The 24,223-nt window shown below is 39.4% G+C and overlaps 1 protein-coding gene across 4 annotated transcripts in view; it reads right to left on the bottom strand.

Annotated features, from left to right (window-relative positions):
- JHY (junctional cadherin complex regulator) overlaps positions 1–24,223 on the bottom strand; it is an 81,104-nt gene that overhangs the window by 7,929 nt on the left and 48,952 nt on the right. For all 4 annotated transcript variants that reach the window (NM_001363089.2, NM_024806.4, NM_001363087.2 and 1 more), the window contains 2 exons: positions 20,859–21,514; positions 9,142–9,436 (listed from right to left, as the gene is read on the bottom strand). In NM_001363089.2, coding sequence (NP_001350018.1) covers positions 9,142–9,436; positions 20,859–21,514 — 951 coding nt within the window. The remainder of the gene's footprint in view (positions 1–9,141; positions 9,437–20,858; positions 21,515–24,223) is intronic.

Below are 24,223 nucleotides of genomic sequence, written 5' to 3'. Positions count from 1 at the left end.
GCCAAATGACTTCCCTGGAAGAAGGTATCTAAATGCACCAGATAAACACAGTGCTTCAAAAAGAGAATACCCTGTCCAATGATGTCACAGCATTACCCGTTAGAGACAATCCAGAAGAGAAGTGAAGAAGGTAGCAACCTTTCAAGTTTTGCTATTGATTATTGGGGGGAAAAGATAATTTTAAGGGAAAAACAATGATAATCTATTTATAATATTCAAGAGAAAAGTAAGTGTTTGAGAGTCTTGGCAAGACTCACTAAGAAACTCATATTGTTCATTCAGTGTGATTTCAGATATTTTGAAGGGCACATAGAATTGAATATGACAACTCTTATTAGTATTGCCCATTTAAAAGGACAGAAAGCAAGAAAGTGAGACAACTGACTGATTAGATTATGGCACCTGAGCACAATAATAGGCAGGAAAAAACCCTAATATTCTACTGCCTATCTGTCTCCTGATAGATTAAGATATTCCCCAAACCACTGCTTTCAAAATTAAAACTGAAGCTTAGGCTGGGCGCGGTGACTCATGCCTGTAATGCCAGCACTTTGGGGGGCTGAAGTGAGCAGATCACCTGAGGTTAGGAGTTCGAGACCAGCTTGGCCAATATGGTGAAAACCCATCCCTACTAAAAATACAAAAATTAGGTGGGCGTGGTGGCAGGCACCTGTAATCCCAGCTACTCGGGGGGCTGAGGCAGGAGAATCGCTTGAACCCGGGAAGCGGAGGTTGCAGTGAGCTGAGATTGCAACACTGCATTCCAGCCTGAGTGACAGAGAGAGATTCTATTTAAAACAACAACAACAACAACAACAAACCCTGAAGTTTAGACTCGCTACTTCCCCTTACAGGGAACTCACATCCTTTTTAAATTTCAGTTTGTTACTTAATTTGGTTTCCTTTTTGGGAAGGATAGGAAAGACGATATAAAAGAGGTGGTTGGATGACAGTAATTTCTTAAGGCACACGTAAGTTACTACTTAAAATGGAGAAAAATCAGCCACATTGAAGAAGCAGCTGTTGTGTACCTAACTGTGGATGTTAGTCCCTGTCTATATGTTAATGACAAAGCACAGGATTTTTATCAATTTTGAAATCTCCTGTTAATTTTAAAAATTTTATCTATTTATTTAGTTTGAGGCCAGGTTATGAGACTGTCTAATTTTTGTACTTTTGGTAGAGATGGGGTTTCACCATGTTGCCCAAGTTGGTTTCAAACTCCTGGCCTCAAGTGATCCACCCACCTCGGCCTCCCAAAGTGCTGGGATTACAGGTCTGAGTCACCGCGACCAGCTGTGCTCCTGTTAAGTACTAAGTCCTAAGATATACATCTAACTTGCCCTTTTCTAAGACAGAATTTAGCAGAGGTCGTCCAGAGACTTAAAATAGGACATTTTCTCATATTAGGTATAATTATTGCATATAACTCTCCAATCTTAAAAATGAACTTGTGTAAACACACTGTATCAACCACTACAAGAACATGTCCTACTCACTGTGGTCTACTGAGTACCCAGAGTCATCCCAATTCACTTCTCCACTGCCACTTCCCACTGTAGATGTTCAAAAGACAAACATTCTCCTCAGCACTGAACTCTTGCCCATGAAGTCTAAGCAAAAGTTTGCTGGGGTACAGTGTATATTTTGGAAAGCTTTAAGGCTGTGGTAGCCCCTTCCCTTCCCTTTCTTGGTAAGGATGTGATTCCTGGAGCTGGAGCTGCAGCAGCAATTTTGCAGCCAGGAAAAAGGAGAATCACAACAATACTGGTTCTGATGTTCTGAGCTGTGGAACCACCAGTGCTAGCAATCACTTGTGGACTAATTGTATGTAAGAAGAATGAACTCATATTTCAGAAATCACTGTAAATGGTAATTGTGTTACTTGCCCACTGAAGGCAATATTCCTAACATCTCAGCACTTTTATGTTGCATTAATAATTTAAAAGGGCCAAAATGATGTGCTACATAGGCAACACTTCTACACTACAAGGATTCAAAGTTCTGTAAAATAGAATTTGCCCCATTAGAATGTTAAACATTTATGGTCAATACTCTAATTCTAATTCTAAAAAGTAAAACAAGATTCTTAAGGAAGGCTTTGAACTAAAATCATTAAAAAATTAGTAACATTAAAGTATGCAGAAGACACACTGTTCATTGAAGGGTATTTCAAAATCATACATCTCCTTTAAGAAAACAGAAGTCACTACTCAGCAAAACCATGATAGCTGCTTCCTCTCCATTATATCTGTCTGTTCATACTTTCATACAATTGTCCATTCACTATGAATTCTTATTTTTTCATTTCATTTCTTTTTTTTTTTTTTTTGAGATGGAGTGTCACTCTGTCATCCAGGCTGGAGTACAATGGTGCAATCTCGGCTCACTGCAACCTCCACCTCCCAGTTTCAAGTGATTCTCCTGCCTCAGCCTCCCAAGTAGCTGGGATTACAGGCGCCTGCCACCATGTCTGTCTAATTTTTGTATTTTTAGTGAGGCAGGGTTTCACCATGTTGGCCAGGCTGGTCTCGAACTCCTGACCTCAGGTGATCTGCCTGCCTGGGCCTCCCAAAGTGCTGGGATTACAGGGGTGAGCCACTGTGCCCAGCCCAAATTCTTATTTTTTCTAAGCATTTTAGTACTATAGTACATTTTTTCTGTCAGTATATATATATTTTTAAATGTGAGTTTTATGCATAACATTCTATTGTCTAGTTTTGTTGGACTGTTTAGCTATTTCTCTAAATGTTGAACATTTAAGATGTCCTAGGGTAAGCATTGTTTTTCTGGGCTACTTTGATTATTTCTTTGAGATACGTTAATAGCCATAGAATTATTGAAATAAAATGAATATGTTTAAGGCCATCAATTAACACTTCCACTAACAATGGAGCCACAAGATTGCTCTTTTTGTCCAAACCTTGATTATACTGGGTATTTTCACATTTTAAAACCTTTACCAATTTTCAATAGGTGAATGAACTCAGACAACTTATATTTCACAATTGCAAATTTGTTCTTTCTCTCACGTATGCCATCTGTATGGTTGTTTTGCAGTCACTGAATTACTATCTATTTGCCAAAGTAAACCAATGATTAAAAGGAAGGAAAAAACCCTGCTCATGTCCAAGTCATAAATCCAATTTGTCCAAAGATGATGAGAAAGAAATGATCAGTGCTCACAAATCACATCCTAAGTCTGAAGCAGCTTAACTTCTAATCATTCCACTGACTTACAAAAGACACATTGTGATGCATGAATAATTGCCCAGTACTCTCCAGCCACAGTTCTTACTATTAACTCCAATAAACATGTTGGCTATCACAGAAAACCAGAGCCAGGGTCTAGTATTACACCTCGATATGAAGGGACAGAGTGTGGCCTAAAGGGTGATCTCCAAGTGCTGCTGATCCCTTTACAGGATGGATGAAGTGCTTATAGCAACGGGACCTTTCTCAAGGGACGGTGATGGCTCCTAACGGAGTTTGTTCTGGGTGACTGGCAATGAAAAATCTTGGATTTACTTAAGGTTGGCGCAAGTAATCTTGATTTGTTCTCAGAGGTGCAATTTTGTTTGATCTCTCTCCATCAAAAGTCTTTTTAGCAGCTTATTGAGATATAATTCACATACCACAAAATTTACCCACTTGAAGTTGTACAATACAATGGTTTTCAGTATATTCACCAAGTTGTGTAAACATCACCACATTCCAATTTTAGAACATTTTCATCACCCTGAAAAGAAATCCTGTCCCCATTAGCAGTTACTCCCTTTGCCCCCTCCGCCTCCAGCCCTAGGCAACCACTAATCTACTTTCTGGCTCTTCAAAAGTCTTTTATAGTAAAAATAATCCCCAGAATTTACTTTGATTTACCTCTCCATGGCTGTTACAAGACTAAAAGGTCATAGTAACACAATACTAAAAAAAAAAAAAAAAAGTAAATCAACAATGATAGTCTTGTTAAGTCTCCAAACACAAGGGGAACAAATTGGAAAATACAGGCATGCTCTCAACCAATCCCTGATGAGATTTGCTGCTAGTCTTTGTATAAGATGCACATGAGCTGGCATCTACCGACTCTGGCACCATCTGAGGATTGTTAAGGCCAGACCAGCCCCTCTGCACTGGTGTTCACACTTGATTGCTTTAGTGGAAGATGGCATAGGACTCTCCTGATGCAAGGTTTGTACCAGGAATTAACCACAGTTCTTCTCAAGACAGCAGAGTTTTTAATTGTAAACTTGGGACACAGTGTGCCCCGACTGGAAGTGACATTGACTGTTCAGTGAGGACCTGTTTCAACTCTGAAAGGTGGTACCCTGCTGTGGGGGCCACTGCAGAGCTATTCTCCAGAAAATTCCTCAGATGTGTAAGTGTGAGAAAGTTACTGAAAAACACGACAAAAAACAATGCCTCAAACACTGTGGAACAGCAAGTGAAGGAAATTTGCTCTGCAGTTGCTAAACTTAATCCAAATAAACCCCTTCTTAGAAGCAGTCAAGCAGCAATGCCCAGATTGTCTGTGACAACAAACACATGAGTTAATTACTTCAGCTCAGCACAGTTAGCTGTCAGCAAACTCCTGAAGCAGTCATTTTGTGGTGGGTTGCAACAGATATTTTTATACTGTTTGCCATCCCTTGATCCCTGACTGCCTGATGTCTAGATTTCATGGCATGGACAATGCCTGGCATTCGGAACTCAGTTACAACAGAGCTGTCAGGAGAAGAGGAAGGGTGCTTGGGCCTATTATCTTTACAAATCCTCCAAGTTTTAATGTGATTCAGGGCGATTCTCTTGGAAACCAAAAGATTTGACGTGACCAGCAAATGGCCATGACCTGGATAATGATCCCCTCTGTCTGGTGCCTTGACTACCTGCTGTCCTATACAAATAGCTCATTTCTAAGTCATTTTAGCTTCTGGAATAGCTTAAAGGACAAAGAGCACTTCTGTGAATTTGTCAGATGTAAGCTGAAAGTGCTGGATTGAGAAAATGGATATACAGATTGTAACATTCCTGATAGAAAGCAGGAAGGGGGATGTCCCCAGTTGGAAAGATGGCTGGGAAGGCAGCAATTGCAAATTTTCCTTCCTCTCCCCTGACCTCCCATGCGCTTAGATTTCTGGTGACACACACTGTCGTCGGAGTACTTTCCTCTACTTTTCTCAGTAAAACATAAATTCAATTAACTAAAAGAAGGGGAAAGGAAAAGGAAACTAACATTTAGTTGATGTCTTCTTTGCTAGGGACTAAGCTGTAGTTTTAATACATTATTTCACTTAACATCACACTAAGTCTACAAAAAGAAAGAATAATTCTGATTGTGTAGATGAAGAAATGAGGGCTCAGGTGAATTAATAACTTGTCCAAGTCATAAGAGATATTGGGAACAGAGATGAGAACCTAGGAATGAATGGGTCCATGGCTTCCTCTAAATCTTGCCGAGTGAGAATTGAGCTCAAAAGCTTGCATTTTCAGCAACAACCCATCATTGGCAAGAACCCCAACCTGGAAGATTCTCTTGTGAGCTAGTGTGTTTGAGCTAAATTTAGTCCCTGGTAATCTATATGTACTGCAGTGAATAGGCTGTCCTCACCTCGAAAATGTGTTCTGAATACATGTCCTTATAGAAATAATACGGATGATGTCCAGCTTCCCAGTCAAGTCTTCAAAACCTACTTTATTCACAAAACTCTTGAAAACAGTGCTAATAGTACCTTACAGCCTAACTACCATGTAATGATGTTTCTGTGGAAAAAGAAGTTACCTGTGATTAAAAAAACACGTTTGTAGCTGGGCGCAGTGGCTCACACCTGTAATTCCGGCAATTTGGGAGGCCAAGGCAGGTGGATCATCTGAGGTCAGGAGTTCGAGACCAGCCTGGCCAACATGGTGAAACCCCATTTCTACTAAAAATACAAAAATCAGCCGGGTGTAGTGGTGTGCGCCTGTAATCCCAGATACTCCTGCTGAGGCAGGAGAATCACTTGAACTCGGGAGATGGAGGTTGCAGTGAGCCGAGATTGCTTCACTGCACACCAGCCTGGGCGATGAAGCGAGATTCTGTCTCAAAAAAAAAAAAAAGAAAAGAAAGAAAAGAAAAAAGGAACACCTTTCTCCTTACTTACAGTGGAACCGGGGATTCTCCCAGCTCCAAGTCACTAGTTGCAGATTCCACAGCGTGGGCACGGATAGGGTCCCGTCCCCAGCAGAGGGGAGGACATGAGAGCGTGAAGTTGGAATGAGGAGTTCAAAGATCCCCAGGTGGGGGTATGTGAAGGAGCTGGGGTAAGAACTCTAGGGTTGTGAGCTGAAGACCCGGGGTACACAGAGGGGCTCAAGATGGGAGCTGCAGGATTGGGGTGGGGTCATATCTCAGCCCCAAGACATCCTCTTTTTCTTCTCGTTAGTATCTCTTGCTGCCTGATCCAGGCCAGTTTCACTTTCTCTTTGAGGCCACCCCTTATCTTTTTCTCTAAAGGCCCCACTTGAGGATCCATGGACTTCATAATCCCATCACTTTCTGGGATGTCTTGCATCTGCCCTGCACACCATAGCCAGAGCTGCCTTTCTAAAATACAAATCCAACCAGTTTAAAATTCCTCCATGATCCCCCCGTCCTACACAATAAAGTACTTCTTTGAATGGAAAATGAGATCTTCTAAGACCTGGCCCCTATCCACCACTCCGCTTCCATCTTTCAACACTCCTTGCCTCCCAGGTTTAGTCACAAGGACCTGAAATGCTCTCATCCCCAGCATGCACCATGTTACAGCTTCAGAACCTTTGTTCGTACTGGTACTCCCGCCTGAATTGCTCTTGCAGTCTTCTTTTTTTTTTTGAGATGGAGTCTCACTCTGTCCCCCAGGCTGGAGTGCAGTGGCGCAATCTCGGCTCACTGCAACCTCCATCTCCCAGGTTCAAGCAATTCTCCTGCCTCAGCCTCCCGAGTAGCTGGGATTACAGGCACCTGCCACCACATCCGGTTAATTTTTGTATTTTTAGTACAGACGGGGTTTCACCATATTGGCCAGGGTGGTCTCAAACTCCTGGCCTTGTGACCTGCCCACCTCAGCCTTCCAAAGTGCTGGGATTACAGGCATAAGCCACCGCGCCCAGCCTGCTCTTGCAGTCTTCTTTGCCAACTCTTCATCACCCTCTAAGACGCAGTTCTGAATTATCTTCTGAAGCCTTGCCTGACCCCAGGTCAGGATATCAGTTTTCCTTTACGTTCCTCTGTGCTCCCCATGCATGCCTACATTATTATTATTACTTTTATTATTAATTAATATCATTATTTGTTTTTTGCTTGCAACATTATACTGCAACATAATAAGCATTTACACGTCTGCCTTCCCAAGCTCCATGCAACTGGAAGCTTCCTCTGAGGAGGGGTCATAGCTCATCTTTACATCCCAGCATCTTCCAAGTTCCTAGTAGAAATCATTATTATTATTATTATTATTATTATTATTATTATTAAGACAAAGTTTCACTCTTGTTGCCCAGGCTGTAGTGAAATGGTGCAATCTCGACTCACTGCAACCTCCGTCTCCCAGGTTCAAGTGATTTTCCTGCCTCAGCCTCCCCAGTAGCTGAGATTACAGGCACCTGCCACCATGCCCGGCTAATTTTTGTATTTTAGTAGAGACGGAGTTTCACCATGTTGTCCAAGCTGGTCTCGAACTCCTGACCTCAGGTGATCCACACACCTCAGCCTCCCAAAGTGCTGGGATTACAGGCGTTAGCCACCACGCCCGGCCTAGAAATTATTTAATAACAAACTGAATTCAACTTAGGAATGGTTTGCTTAATTCCTCTCAAGTGGTCTTAGCGCGGAGGCCCTTCTGTACTGAGGCACTCATTTCTCCAGACGCTGGGAGTGTTGTCTGCTGATGGCTCACAGCTGAGTTCCTCCCTAAACACTGCCTCAGCCACGTGGAGCTGCTGTGCACAAAGTGACCACCCTTCCCCAGGGGCAGTCACTATCCAATGGCAGGTTGGTATGGGAGAACAAAAGCCTGGGTCCCTTGCCTTCGAAGGGCCACCCCAACTTTAGAACCCTCAGAACCTTGGCCAAGGCTACTGCTGTGTCTGCATCACAGCCCATCTCTGCCCAGCCCCGCTTCCCTCACTCCCTTAAAGGTACCCCAGGTTGCTCTGCTAGAGACCTCCTGCATGCAAATCTCTATTTCAGTCTAGAGACCTCCTGCATGCAAATCTCCATTTCAGTCTGTTCCCTGAAAACCCAACTCACCACAGGCTTATTGCTTTCAACCAGGCCTTTCCCTGTTGCCTGTAAAACAGAATGCATTTCCAGCTTTTTTCTTATGATTTGACACTGGAAGCAAGTGACCTTTCCTGAGGGCTTTTTATTGCCAGTGACAGAAGAGAAATACACAGGACATAAAAAGTCCCCTTCCTAGGCGCCTTCATTTCTTACTGAAAACATTCTACTTTGGGTCCCCAATTTTACTTGTTAAATCATGTAGGCCCTATGAGAAAAGACTGAAGTGCGCAAAGGTGCTAGTAATGGTGATTTGAGACAAAGAACTCAGTAAAGGTCAGCTAATGTTTGAGAGGAAAGTTCAATCACTGGCCAGCCCAGGTATTTTACTGCAGAAGTTGGGGTGAGATTAGGGCCAAGATGAGTCCTCATAGTGGCAGATGGTGGGAAAATGCAATGGCAACAGGCGCTTTCACTCACTCAGCCCTACTTTCTCTACTTTTTAAGATATGAGAATGACCTGGGAAGAAATGATTTAATAACCATGAAGACTCAGGTTAGCATGGGGCTTGGGGTGGAGTATGGAAGCTTTCCTAAGGAAGAGATGTTTCAGCTGGGGATGAAAGGAGGAGTTCTGCCACTCTGCAAATGGAGACCTCTCGCCAAGATGACTTGAACAGGAGGGAGAAATGGGCATCCCTGGCAGCAACAACTTCTATTAAGAAGGGGAGGGAAACCCCAGGGAGTAGCAGGGGCAGGAGTAAGAAACTCCTTAGGACTCTGGGCGACCCAGTGTGGCAGCAACTCAGTAATGACCATCCCTATTCCAGGGCTATAATTACATCAAGGTCCATCTGTATTCTCAAAATGGAAGAGTTACTTGGTAAAAATGGCGCTTTTATTACCTTACTGCTGCTTCTTTTCTTATGCTTTTTTCCCTTTTCCAGTTGAAACAGATAGCCTTCAGAATTGCTACGGCTAATTTTCACTTGGTTTCTTTGGCTTCTCTCTGAACTGAGTTGGGATTCACTTTCTACCCTTGACAGTATAGGTGGAAGCGTGACGCTGGATAAGGCCCCTTCACTGGGCTGCACGTCGGTCAGCTGCACCAAGGCTTGCTGATGCTGCTCCATTATCTGGGTGAGCCATGAATCTGGAGAAGCTCTAACCGTCTGGCTGTCAGAAGAAGAATGGAATTTCCTTAATGAAAAAAAAAAAGGCACAAATCTATTAATAAAATCCAAATACATAAGACATCTAGCATAAAAGTCTTTATGAACCATTAATTTGATGTATTTATCACTCTCAAATCAAATTAATGACCTTTAGCTTAATCTTTTCATGAATACATTAATTTCTTATTTATCTTAAACTCCTCCTCTTTTTCCTTTAGGACAGTCTACATTTTATTTAGAACTTTTGTTTAGTGCATTCAGAATAGAAAAAACACCATTTTGAAAAATCAAAGACCTTCCCACTGCAAAATACCTAGAAATGTTGCATTACATTAAACATCCTTTAAACACATAGTTGAATTGGTAAGATAAACAGAAATCTCTAAAGACCAAAACGAACAAAAGGAATAAAAACCAAAGCAGATTTTAGATTAGCTGAAGTTATAGCTTTCTTTACAAGAGTTTTGGGTCTACAGGCTTGAGTTTTAATAGTTAACGCTGGTATAGGATATGCAAGATCTTGGTCCTGTGTGAGGCAGGGAATCAGAACTAAGATCGTTGTAAGAAGACTATAACTTGAGGTGCTACACCCTCAGTTAAAAGCTACATTAATTCAAAACCCATTCACCAGCCATGAGAAACAACAAGCAAGTCTGTCTGTCTTGGTCTCTGGGCTCTGAATAGAAAAACAACCCCCACTCTCTCCAAAAAACCCAACAACAACAACAAGCTCTTGTGAATATCTATAGGACAATATTTGGATTTCAAATTTACCTTACCCACATAATCACGGAAATCCAACATGAAGAAACTAATGTAACAATGATCTTGGATGAGGGATACTTCTGTAGTATCTGGCAGAAGCAAATACAAAACTTCTCTAGAGAAATACACTCCCACCCAAGCCTGCCTAGGTTTCCACGGAAAAGGTGGCTAAATGTAAGTTCACAATCCAAAGTCCTTGCCCGTAAGAGGAAATAATCTACCAAATATGAGAGTCAGCAGACACACATACACACACATACAAATAGCAATAGTAGACTTCCAAGAACTTCAGATGATAGAGATATTAGATAACATTCATAAGGTAGTTTAAAATGAGTAAAGACTTGAGAAAAGAAGCTAAGAACCTGAGAAACATATTTAAAAATCCTGTATTTTGGAAAAAGAACAGAGAGGTTTTAATGAGAACCAAATAGAAATTCTAGACATGGAAAATACCATTATTGAAATTTAAAACTCAGTGGATACATTAAAGAGCATATGTTGGACACAGGTAAAGAGAGATTTATTACACTGGAAAACTTATTTGAAGAAATTATTCAGAAAGAAGCACTGAGAAATAAAAGGTGTAAAATAAAAACAGTTAAAAAGGCACGAAGTCTAGAATAGACAATCTAACACACAGCTATTTGGGGTTCCTATAGGAGAAAATAGAGTAAATTTGAGAGACATAATATTCAAAGGGAACATGTGTGATAATTTTTCATTATTTATGAAAGAGATGAATCTTAAGATTTAGGAATTATAGAAGAGTCTCAGGCAGAATTAAAAATTTCATACCTAAGCATATCACAACGAAACTTCAGAACACCAAAACCAGAGGAAACACTTACAAACCAATAAGAGAAAATAAAAACAAAACAAAATAAATGTTAATTATATTGACAAAAGACTTTTCAAAGCAATGCAGAAACCAGGAGACAGAAAAGTAATGTTTTCAAAGAGTTGAATTCTTCACAATATTAAACTATAATTCAAAATAGTAAAATAAAGAAGTTTTCATGTAAATTTACCATACTTGCTAAAAGAACTTCTAAAGGATTTACTTCAGAATAAAGGGTAACATGGAAGAAAGGATGTGAGGCAGAGACATTAATAAACAATTGGCTAAATATAATACAGTATTAACTCATAATACAGTATTAACTCTAGACAACAATAATAAAAGCAGTGACTAATTTTGAATATATAAGGTGATAGAAAAGTTGTTGAACAAAGTAATATGTATGACAGGAAAGGTGATTGGATTAAAACAATCTAATAATTTTGAACATGTTCTAGAGGAGAATGGGAATATTAATTTAATGCTAGACTAGTTAAGTACATGAGTTACAATAAAAGAATATAAAGAGAATATATATTTGCAAATCAGTAGAAGGAAAAATAAAGAAAATTCTATCAGGTTAGTAGAGGATATAAAAGATATAGAGAAGTATAGAGAAAGTAGGGTGATTCGGAAGGACAAATTAAGACTGTAGAAATAAATTCAAAGGTATCAGTGCCACAATAAATGTAAGTAGCTTTTTTGGTTGGTTTGTTTTTTGAGGCATCGTCTCAGTTTATCACCCAGGCTGGAATGCAGTGGCAAGATTTTGGCTTACTGCAACCTCTGACTTACGGGCTCAAGTGATCCTCCCACCTCAGCCTCCTGATTAGTTGTGACCACAGGTGCACCCCACCATGCCTGGCTAATTTTTGTAGAGACAGGGTTTTGCCATGTTATCCAGGCTGGTCTCTAACTCTTGGACTCAAGCAATCCTCCCTTCTCAGCCTCCCAAAGTGCTGTTATTACAGGTGTGAGCCACTGCACCTGGCCTATAGTTTTAAGTCACTAGTTAAAAGTGAGTTTAAGAATGAATAAAGAAACAAAATCCAACACACTACTTAAAAGAGACTCACTTAAATCATAAGAAGACTGAAAAATTTGAAGATGATGGAAAAAATATACCAGACTCAATGCTAAATTTAAAAAGCTGGTGTAGCTGTATTAGTATCAGAAAGCATAAACTTTAAGAAAGAAGCATTATTAGGAATAAAAATATTGATTACATCAGGATTAAAAGAAGAATTCATCAGGAAGATATATCAATTATAAATCTGCATGTCCCTAATAACATAAGTTCAAAATACATAAAGCAAAAATTAATGGAATTGTGAGGCAAAACTGACAATTCTTAAAGAGGGAGATGCCACCTCACCAGTTTCAGTAACTGATATATCAAACAGAGAAACCTAACTAGGCTATAGAAGACTTAAAAGACCTATTCAACAAGCCTACTCGTACATAGAATGTAAGTATATAGAATGATGTAATCAACAACTGCAGAAAACAAATGAGGAACATTTGGTTACATTGACCAAAACGTTAGGCCAAAAACAAGTATCAAAAAATATCAAAAACTTGGTATCATGTGAATGATGTTTTCTGACAATAATTGTTTTGTTAGATATATAACAATAAATATATCTAAAATAACTTTATATGTTTTGAAATTTATAAACATACTTCCAAATAACTGATCATCCAAGAGGCAATCATAATGGAATTAGAAAATACTTAGAACTAGCTGAGCGAGGTGGCTTGTGCCTGTAATCCCAGCAGCTCAAGGGGCTGAGGCAGGAAGATGGCTTGAGCCGAGGAGTTTAAGACCAGCCTGAGCAACATAATGAGACCCTGTCTCCAAATAAATTTTAAAAAGTAGGTGGGTGTGGTGGAGCCTGTCTGTAGTCCCAGCTAGTGGGGAGCCTGAGGTGGGAGCATCACTTGAGCTCAGGAGTTGGAGACTGCAGTGAGCTAGGATCACTCCGTTGCACTCCAGCCTGGGCAACATGGTGAGACCCTGCCTCTAAAAAGAGAAGAAAATACTTAGAACTAAACAATAATAAAAATGCTACATTTTAAAACATGTGGGAAGCAACTAAAACATACTTAGAGGAACATTTATAATTTTAAATTATATTGGAAAAGGAGAAAGCCTTAGAAATAATGAGCTAAGCATTTAAAACAGAAGTTAAGGGCTGGGCACGTTGGCTCATGCCTGTAATCTGAGCACTTTGGGAGGCCAAGGCAGGTGGATCACTCGAGGTCAGGAGTTCAAGACCAGCCTGGCCAACATGGTGAAACTCTGTCTCTACTAAAAATATAAAAATTAGCTGGGCATGGTGGCGTATGCCTGTAATCCCAGCTACTTGGGAGGCTGAGGCACAATAATCGCTTGAACCCGAGAGATGGAGGTTGCAGTGAGCCAAGATCATGCCAATGCACTCCAGCCTGGGTGACAGAGTGAGACTCTGTCTCAATAAATAAATAACAGAAGTTAAGAAGTCAAAAACACTGAAGTAAATTCAAGCAATATCAAAGAAAAGAAGTAAATATATGAGAACAAAGATGGATAAAAGAGAAAACAAAACCAAAACATAGAGGAACAGTTGTTTTTGAAATGACAGATGAAATAGACAACCCTTTTGCAAGGCTGATCAAGAAAAAGAGAGAGAAAGCACAAATAAACTATTGTGGTTTCTTCTGAGTTAGGACAGAATAAATTTCTGCTTTGAAAAAGGAATTTCTGGCCAGGTGCGGTGGCTCACGCCTGTAATCCCAGCACTTTGGGAGGCCGAGGTGGGTGGATCACCAGAGGTCAGGAGTTCGAGACCAGCCTAACCAACATGGCGAAACGCTGTCTCTACTAAAAATATAAAAATTAGCTGGGCATGGTGTCACGTGCCTGTAATCCTAGCTACTTGGGAAGCTGAGACAGGAGAATCACTTGAACCTGGGAGGCAGAGGTTGCAATGAGCCGAAATTGTGCCACCACACTCCAGCCTGGGTGACAGAGCAAGACTCTGTCTAAAAATAAATAAATAAATAAATAAACTAAAACAAACAACAAAAAGGGAATTTCTATTTCTTGTCATGGTCCTTACCAAACAGGAGGCACACACAGTGACCTGCAGTCACACATCCTACAAGCAGCTGGTTACCATGTAATGTTTTACATATTCAAAAAATAAAATAAAATTTAAAATCAATGAGAAGAAAAGAAAATCCTAACACTGAATACAAAGCAAAACAAATGAATTTAACTGTATGTTAAACTGATTACCTCTACCAAGAGAAAAGAATTAATTTATGAAGTAATTTTGAGTCAATGTAGTTTGGTTGTACACCCTTAGAAGAATATAGAGGGAGGAAAAAGAATGGCAAAGAAATCATGAGCTTTACTTAGACTGACTGTTTGGTAGTGGTACTGGCATTGTAATTATAAAACTATTTGTACATATACTGTAGGGAAGGGTAAATGTGTAAACATATTGATGTTTTGGTAAACTAAGGTTTTCACTGTTGGAAAAAGGAGATACAAATATGGAAAAGGAGAAGCATGAGGAAGAACCCAGAGCTGTTGGATTTGAGGTATCTGTGTGACCCCACTAGTATACAGAAATATGTATTGGCATAGGCATAATTATAGAAAGAGGTTCAGGTACAGGTATTTTCTAGCTCTAACTGCTGAGATCTTGAGTCTAGAAGCAATAACATTTCAGTAGCAATGAGAACACATAGCTCTCAAATCTTGGTTTCTAAATTCCATTCCCTACTAAAAAGAATTAGGGTTTTTTGGAGAAACTGATGCTTCCACATGAGTTCAGGGGAAGTCCAAAGGTAAACCTAGAACATATTACTATGCCAGAAAACAAAGAAGTGCTCGAAGACAAAAGATGTTACATCAAAAGGACCCAGGAACTGGAGTGAAGGGGCTCCCACTGCTCAAATCCAAGACAGTGAGAACATATACAGTATAATGATGGTAATAGACTTTAACATGTTTATAGGAAAAGATTTATGAGTCCATAATGATACTAGAGAGAGAGGGAGAGAGAGAGAGAGAGATAAAGAAGGAAGGAAGGAAGGAAGGAAGGAGAAAAAGGAAGAGGAAAAGGTCTTATTTCAACAGCCATGTAATAAATGTATAGGTATTGATAGAATTACAAAATCACCATTTTGCAACCCCAGTGTAATGGATGATTTAGGTAAGCACTGTCAGTGGATGCTAAAACCACTGTACAAAAAGCTGTTGAAAACTAGGATAATTACACTGTCTCGAATATTAATAATTACTTATAAAGGGAAAATGTTCCTTTACAATGGGGAGATCTGGTAGTCGCTACCTTAATCAAAAGGTTTAACTTAGCATCACCAATAATATGATAGCCTGATAGTATGTATCCCCTGGTATAATGTAATAAAAAGTACACCAAATCACCCAAGTAGTATTCTTGCCTGAAATGGTCAACCTAAATATAACTATCCAAAAACAATAAATTTTTTCTAAAAAGGCAATGTTATAGAAAACAATGAAAAGTGAGCATTGGATAATTTGTTCTAGATTTTTTTTTCTTTTTTTGAGACAGAACCTCACTCTGTTGCCCAGGCTGGAGTGCAGTGGCAGGATCTCAGCTCACTGCAACCTCTGCCTCCCAGGCTGAAGAGATTCTCCTGCCTCAGCCTCCCGAGTAGCTGGGACTACAGGAGCCTGCCACCACACCCAGCAAATTTTTGTATTTTTAGTAGAGTGGGAGTTTCACCATGTTGGCCAGGCTGGTCTCGAACTCCTGACCTCAAGTGATCCACCGCCTTGGCCTCCCAAAGTGCTGGGATTACAGGTGTGAGCCACCATGCCCAGTCTGTTCTAGATTTTTTTTTTTTTAATTAAAGGGACAAAAAGTAAATGAAATGTATGAACACTGAATACTGGATCAGGAATTTAAAAAAAAAAAAGCTGTAAAAGGCTTTTTGGAGACAAGTAATACAATTTAAAAATGTACTGATACTACATGATATTGTGTACAATAACGTTAATATTCTTAGCTGTGATAATGGTGTGATTGTTGTATAAGACAATGTCCTTATTCTTAGGGGCTGAATGTTGAAATATTTAGAGATAAAATATTGTGATTCTGAACTTGCTTTCAAATGATTCAGTAAATAGATAGAAAATGTTGCAAAATTTTAGCACTGATGAATCTAGATGAAGGACTACAGGTGTTTATTGTAGATATTTTCCCCCAAGTTTTTACTAGGTGTGAACAATTTCAAAATGAAAAGGTGGTAGAAAAAACGTGGCAGAATAAGCATGCAATTTAACTCTCAAATGCAAATCAAAATTATATATAAAGAGATTTTTAAAAGACATCAACCCACGAAGATAAAGAGAACAAAATGGGGGGAAAAGAGCAAATATTTCGGAAGCAGAGAACAGATGGTTGAATGGTAACTATCTTAGCAGACTCAAAAAAGTGGAATCTAAGTTAGCAGCAGGGAAAGCAGAGAAGCCACAGTTTACACCATAGAATCCTGTAAGGCTCATGAGCTGTAAGTGGGAGTGGCGGTGGTGAAAGTCTATGTGAGAGTTACTTAAAAAAGATTTGGTTGAAAGTCTGTTTAAGAAGCAGTCAGGGTTGGGTGCGGTGGCTCACGCCTGTAATCCCAGCACTTTGGGAGGCCGAGGTGGGTGGATCACGGGGTCAGGAGATCGAGACCATCCTGGCCAACATGGTGAAACCCTGTCTCTACCAAAAATCCAAAAACTAGCCAGGCGTGGTGATGGGCGTCTGTAGTCCCAGCTGCTCAGGAGGCTGAGGCAGGAGAATCGCTTGAACCCGGTAGGCAGAGGTTGCAGTGAGCTGAGATCGTGCCACTGCACTCCAGCCTGGCAACAGAGTGAGACTCCGTCTCCGGAAAAAAAAAAAAAAAAAGAAGAAGCAGGCGGATCTCCAGATCATCTTCTCCATTTTGTGCACCTAGGCAACTGTCCCTTCCCTCTCTCCGCAGCTCGCTGGAGGTTTTCATTCTGAAGAAGCCAACAAGTCTTCTGCCTGTGAAGCACCAAGCACAGATAATAAATCTGACCACCAAGAGAAAAGACCTAAAACCTACAGGAAGGGCTTCCTATCACATGGCACCCAAAGATCATTCTATAGGCACTCAAAGTCAACAAGCACTGTCACTCAGAGCTTCCAATAAGCTTTCTAGTCCCTCATACTTGATCATGAGAAGATGATCAAGAATTGCTAGACATCTGACACAAGCCCTAAGGTGGAAGGCAGCAAAATAGGAGAAGAGAAACAAACATCACTGACAAAGACCTAGAGGAAAGAGAAGCAAAGCAGGGAATTAAAAACACTTAAAAATTCAGTCACAAGGGCCCTTACACCCTATTTTGCCTTGTTGAAAATCTAAGAAGACGTTGAGAAAAAAGGATGTTGTATCCATGAACAAAAACATGAGGCTATAAAACGAGGAGCATTCAGAAACCAATAACAGAAACAACAACAAAAAAATCCTGTCGGAAATTAACAAACATGATAGCAGTAGAAAGGCTGGAAGCTAGGACTGAGAAACCCTCCCAGACAGTAGAACAAAATTAGAAAGAAATGGAGAAAGAAAGAGAAAACAAAATCATAATAACGGTCCTGGAAAAACGCATCTGAATCACAGGAGTTTCTAGAAAGAGCAAACAGAAAATGGTTGAAAGGAACTACCCATAAAGATGACTCAAGAAATTTTCCCAGAACTGAAGGTCATATGTTTTCAGGTTTAAAGGCCCCAGCTCAATCTATGAAAACAGACCTATACAAAGGCGCAATATTATGAAATTTCACTTCAGTAGAGAAAAAGAAAAGATCCTAAAGCTTCCAGAAAACAAAAAACAAAAAACAACAACAAAAAAAACAGATTATATACAAAGGATCAGGAATAAGGTGGCTTCAGATTTCTCAACAGCAACACTGGATGCAAGAAGGCAATTCTGAGGGACAATGATTTTCCATCTAGAATTCTACAATCCTCTGCCAAGCTACCAATCAGGGGCGAGGGCAGAAGAAAGATAATTTCAGCAAGATCTCAAAACATTTACCTCTCAAGCAATGGAGGATGTTCTCTATCAAAATTAGAGACGAAACTAAGAAAGAGAACGGGGATGGAAAAAACGGGAAGGGTGACGAAGGAGAAGAGTGAAGAGGGTCTCCATGAGGGCATGGAGATTCTTAAGGATAATATGAGCACAACAACAGCGGAACGCAGTCAGAAAACAGGTGTGGCACAGGACACTGGCACGCTGAGAACTGCCCATCACCCTGTCCCCTGTCCTTGTACCACATTTTCAATCTGAAAGAAATGCCGGAAGGGGTGCTCAAACAAAATAAGGAAAATGTGAGATACTGAAAAAGAGAATCCTATCAGAAGAAAGGCAAAGGGAATCCTCAGCCAGGACAGCTGTGAAGCAAGTCTCGAAAGAGAAAGAAAGTAAAGGTGTCTACAAAGTCTGGCTCCAAGAAAGAGAGAAGAATTGAGAAATTGCCCGATGGGGTTGTCCTTATGGAAACTTATACTAAAAGGCTACTCATAAGCGTAGGATCAATTAGCTATATGTACAGAGAGAATTAAGCAAAAGAAGCCCAGGAGGTTGAGGCTGCCAAAAAAATTAAAAAAAAAAAAAAAGAAATGAAAAGAGGGACATGATTATAGATATAATAAAGGTGGAATAATATTAAAGTTATTTAAATACTACAAAAAGCTTTATGACAGTACATTTTAAGACAGCATAAAAGGAAAATTTTTCCTAGAAAAATATAATGTATTAAACTGACTAAAATGAAAATGAAAAGACTGCAAAGTCTTATAATGATTATAGTAAATGCATCAGGAGTTTAAAATCTGCTCACAAACAACAACAAAAAGCCAAACAAAACCCACCAATGGCCCAATAGTTTTAGAGGAAAATTCTATCAAACCTTCAAGTAACAGGTAAGGCCAATTGTATATAAAGTGTCCCAGAGGATGCAAAAAGAGGAAATAGTCCTCAACTCATTTTATAAGGCTGGTATTTTCTTGATAATCCACCCAGTCAAGGCCAGTGGCAGATAGGAAAATTATAAGCCAATTTCACTTCATGTATATGAAAATGTTAAATCTTAAACAAAGTGTTAACACATCAAATCAAGCAACTTATTAAAAATGCAGTATGACAAATTGGGTTAACCCTAGGAATAAAAGGGTTATCAGAAAAATCAGTGCATCATCAGAAAAATCTGTTAACATATTTCATCACACTAAAGGATTAATGGAGAAATGTTTCAATTAATGCAGAAAAAGTATTTGATAAAATCAAATACTCGTTTATGATAGAAGTTATTTGCAAAGAGGAATAGGAGGAAATTTCCCATCTATCATCTATCTATCTACCAAAAACTAAATATTATTTTTAATGGTAAAAGTGTCAGAAACAATCTTTCTAAAATCAGGAAAAAAAAAAAAGACAAAGATGCCTGCTATTTATCATTATCTCTTCTAGGAAGCTAACTTTAAATCTTATTAAATCTACATTCCATATCACCAAGTGTGACACTTAAATGTTCTTTGATCAACTCACGAGGGAGTAATTGTCTCCCTACTTTGAAAGTCAAGTTCCTTGAAGGTGCCTCACACACCATACTTCTTTTGTACCTTGTATAGCATTTAGCACTGTAGCATTATATTCAGTATGTTAGGTATGTAGAAAGGACGTTTGATCGAAGAACACCAAGAAATGGTGCCTGAAGTAATTTTTAAAATAACTTTCATTTTCCTGTTTATAGAAGTTATACATCTACATCGTGGGGAACTTGAACTGTTCTGAAAATATAAAGAATAAATTTTTAAAATCCCAATCCCTCTTGCTAGAGATAACCACTATTGACATTTTGGTAAATTTTTCTTCTGTGCATATTTTAACACAGTAGAACTCATACTCCTTAGATGTACTTTTTCTTCTACCAGTGTCATTCAACCCAAGGTGTAATTTTGTACCTTACTATTTTCTTCCTATAGAAGCATTTCCTCATAACCATAATTTTTAGTGGTTCCATGATACTAAATATCATAATTTACCTAAACATTCCCTATTGTTGGATTTTTAGGTCACCTCTATAAATGATGATTTTTTTGTATGTGCATATTTTTCTGTATTTTAGATTATTTTCTCAGGATAGGCCATGATAATGTTGAAGATCATTTGTTTCCTCCAAACATTACTTGCAACCCCCAAACACACTGATGTTTTTTGACTGGGTCCCTCTGTCCTCCTCTCCCTTCAACTTCTAGTTTAACTACAGTGGAAAAATAGCGGAGACAGGGAAGAGGAAAAGAAATCCATCAAAAGTAGACTCTTGGCCGGGTGCGGTGGCTCACACCTGTAATCTCAGCACTTTGGGAGGCCAAGGCGGGTGGATTACTTGAGGTCAGGAGTTCGAGACCAGCCTGGCCAACATGCTGAAACTCTGTCTCTACTAAAAATACAAAAATTAGCCCGGTGTGGTGGTGAACGCTTGTAATCCCTGCTACTTGGGAGGCTGGGCCAGGAGAATTGCTTGAGCTCGGGAGGCGGAGGTTGCAATGAGCCAAGATGGCACCACTGCACTCCAGCCTGGGCAACAGAGCAAGAATCTGTCTAAAAAAAAAAAAAGTGGACTCTTTGAGGCAGGAATCAGAGCTAAGGAAGTTGTTAGGTGAACTCTTCTTCTCACCTAGCCACCTTATGGATTCCCCTTCCCCTTCTTCCTCTCCCGTCTTTCTGCAGCAGTCTCTCCTTTCTCCTCTAGAAAACCACTTGAGAAAAGGGAATTCTTACCATAACATTTCTAAGTTCCTGTATTTTGTCTCTGTATAAGGCTGTTTGAGTTGTTTCTTATTTTTGGTTGATCCATGAGTATTTATGTGATAAACAAACTGAGAGCCTTTCTGGCTCAGGAGCACGTGTCTCTTAGAAAGTTCATTAAGGTTGTTCAAATCCATGTCAGAAAGGGTGTGTAGCTGCTGATATGAAAATCTTTTCTCTTCTTGGTCTTTGTGTCCTCTTTCTTTATTAACATTCAGCCCAGAGTCACATCCAGTAGAGTTTTTAGATAAGACCTTGTCAAAAGCCTGTTTTGGTGGAGCAAATGTATTGGAGGTTTCTTTGAGATTGTGGCTTCTAAGTGCCCTTGAGGCTTGTACATCATTGTTAGAGGCATGCATAATCACAATCGATTCAGGCTTTGTTGAAGTATCAAGAGGCTTATTTTGGTTTTGTTGCTGCCTGGGAGGGTTATTCTGGTTCCCCTGACTGGCAGTCACCTCTTCCGTTGTGGAAGACTTCAGGCCATTCTGGTGTTTACACTGCTTTCGAATCTTGAGCTTGGCTGGTCTTCTGGAAGGTTGATGGTCATTCACCATGTCAGAAGGTTGCCCTCTTGGTACATTGCTTGATTTTGTACTTTCATATTGAGACCAGTGTTCCTGGTAATTCTAAAGAGATATTTTTGGTTAATGTAAAATTAGAAGACTGGCACTCTTCACAAATTTTATTTTATTATTTATTTATTTATTTATTTATTTATTTATTTATTTATTTGAGACGGAGTCTCACTGTCTCCCAGGCTGGAGTGCAGTGGCACGATCTGGGCTCACTGCAAGCTCCGCCTCCCAGGTTCACACCATTCTCCTGCCTCAGCCCACAAATTTTAAATTAGTGTTTTCCAAATTGGGGGTTGAGACTTCTAGGAAGGTGACCATAGAACTGAAAGCAGATAAAGAAAAAGTAGACGATTTTTTTCCTAATTTCAGGGAATTGGAGTTAATAACTGAGTGATTCCTCCTGGAAATTTAGGATTATAAGCCTAGAAAGAAATAGAAAGCTTAGAATGGGCTTTATATTAAGGACAAGTCTTTGGCTTCAAAGTTTAAGTTTTAAAAGTTAAGTCTTTGACTTAAAAGTGTTGCCAACTTGGGGGATGAGGTGGGGAAGCTTTACTTCGAGAGATACGGAGAAAGTACAAATGCAAATCTACATTACAATATACAAGCTTATTTTAAGTAACATGAATATTTTTAAAAATCTTAACCAGAAAACACTAATAATTTGCTTTACAAACCAAGTACAAATCTAATATTAAATACAATTGAGATGATCAGATCTTTTTACTCATGCTGGTCAGAAGCTAGAAATGACCTCTTCACCAGATGAAACAAATTAGATTTTATTCAGAGGATTATAAAAGAGCCTGTGCTGTGATAGGACATCTGTGAAGCCACAAGGGCTGTTTTGCTTCTGTTCCTTAATATAGCCTGCGCTTAGGCAATCAAACATCTGGGGGAAATATTTCAATTTCACAACAGTCTTTATGCTTTTCAAAGTCTCCTAACAACAAAATGTACTCCTGGTATAATAGATACACTATGTAACTATATTGTGCTATTGCCATTTAGAAATATTTTCCAAGGAATAAAGCACTCATTACTTCGTGGAAAACTAGCTGAGTTAAGAGGCCTTTGCAAAGAATGATTAAATGCTTATTGAAAACAGTAGGATGACCATATGCATCAGTGTGTTATATAACTGCAACATATTTCTTCCTTTCTGAACACATATACTAAAAAATCTCTTTAGCTTTTATCTATAAAACATTAACTGAAAAATGCAACAGTTGGATGAATGATTATTTTAGCTTGCTAGAAGGAATGATCAAATTACTGTGATGAGTTCAGCTTTGATTTCTCTTTTCTGATACATTCTGATACAACCACTAAGACTCATCCTATTCCTGTATAATATTAAGCAGTGTTCTATTTCTAGTGAAATCACATTATAATGATAATGTTGAGATTATTAAATTTAAAACAGTAATACACAATGTTACTTATCATATCATATTTTTAAGAAATAACGACTTCTAATTTGAAATTTAGAAGCTGTTCTTTTGAGAATTTGAGCTTTCTGGGGGATTGGCCAGGCTCTGATTAGCTCCTACTTACTTTAAATTTTTACCTGTGGTGCTCCCAAAAAAGGGAAAACTTCTCTTCTGTATTCCAGGTAAATTCTAGGTATTCCTTCCATGCAGTAAATTGAGCTGCATGGGGAAATGCGGGCAGGAAGGCTCTGCAAATACATAGCTCCAAGAAAATCCTTTCTTGTAATGGATCCAGAAAATAATTGCTATATTACAATATTATAGGTGTGGTTGTGGAATATAGCAGCTCTTTTTATGGCTGGCAGCACTATTCGTGAAGGTCAAAAATGCCCCCCTTGACTGTGACCTAAAAGTATTAATTGATGCTGATAATGTCATTCTTTTCAATATTTTGTTCAGCCTTTAACTCGCTAGAGAAGTAACCAGGATGCTGCCATCTAAATGTACTTTTCCTAGTTTTCTCTCTTAATTTTCACCAAAAAAGAAAATACTTACTTCTCAGAAATTTCTTGGGTACTAGATGTGAAATCCTGGGTTACCACTTGATCTTAATCATGTTATTACCTTTGCTGCTGACAATCCTGTTCACAGGGCGCTCTGACAACAAGGCCAAGGACTCATCATTTTATGAAACTTCAATTGTCTCAAGTGTTAAATCTGCTATTCACATACATATAAGTGCCCAGAGATGGCATTTCAGTCCCCAGAAAGGAAGCCATTTATGGGCTTGATACGATTTTTCTCACCTTCCAAGCAGCCTACTTGAGATCTGTGGTTTACTGAAGATTTATTACCCTACAATTGGGGCATCAGGTGTCACTCTTTAGGTGGCAAGACCTGAGTTCCCTGAAGTTAATATACAAAGCCATTCTCAGACGATTTAATCTCCATCAGCACTGAAATCCTCTATTCCATTCTGCTCTCACTGGGGTTCTTTTGTTACCAACACCCGCAGTCGCTGCATACTCCATGCACTTAGAATAACTGCTTAATGGCAGTAGGTTTTTGCGTCACACACGGAGTGTTAGCATGGGGGAATCCTGATGCCTAATGCTGGGATGATAATTTCTTGGTGGGACTCATCCTTAGTTATTAATTAATGCTCGTTCATACTGTGCCACCCAAGAGAAGTTTGTCCCCGACCCTGTGAAAGCCAGCACCTTGTTGTTTCTCTTTTACGGCTTTCCTTTTCACATTTCATCAGCAGACGGGACAATGCCTGCTCTGATCTCAACCAGAAAGTTCATCTGTTTCAACACAAAAGCCA

This window comes from Homo sapiens, chromosome 11 (genome assembly GCF_000001405.40).
Source record: "Homo sapiens chromosome 11, GRCh38.p14 Primary Assembly".
Taxonomy (NCBI): Eukaryota; Metazoa; Chordata; class Mammalia; order Primates; family Hominidae; genus Homo; species Homo sapiens.
Note: the sequence above shows the minus strand (reverse complement) of the source record. Positions and strands in the feature narration are given on the sequence as shown.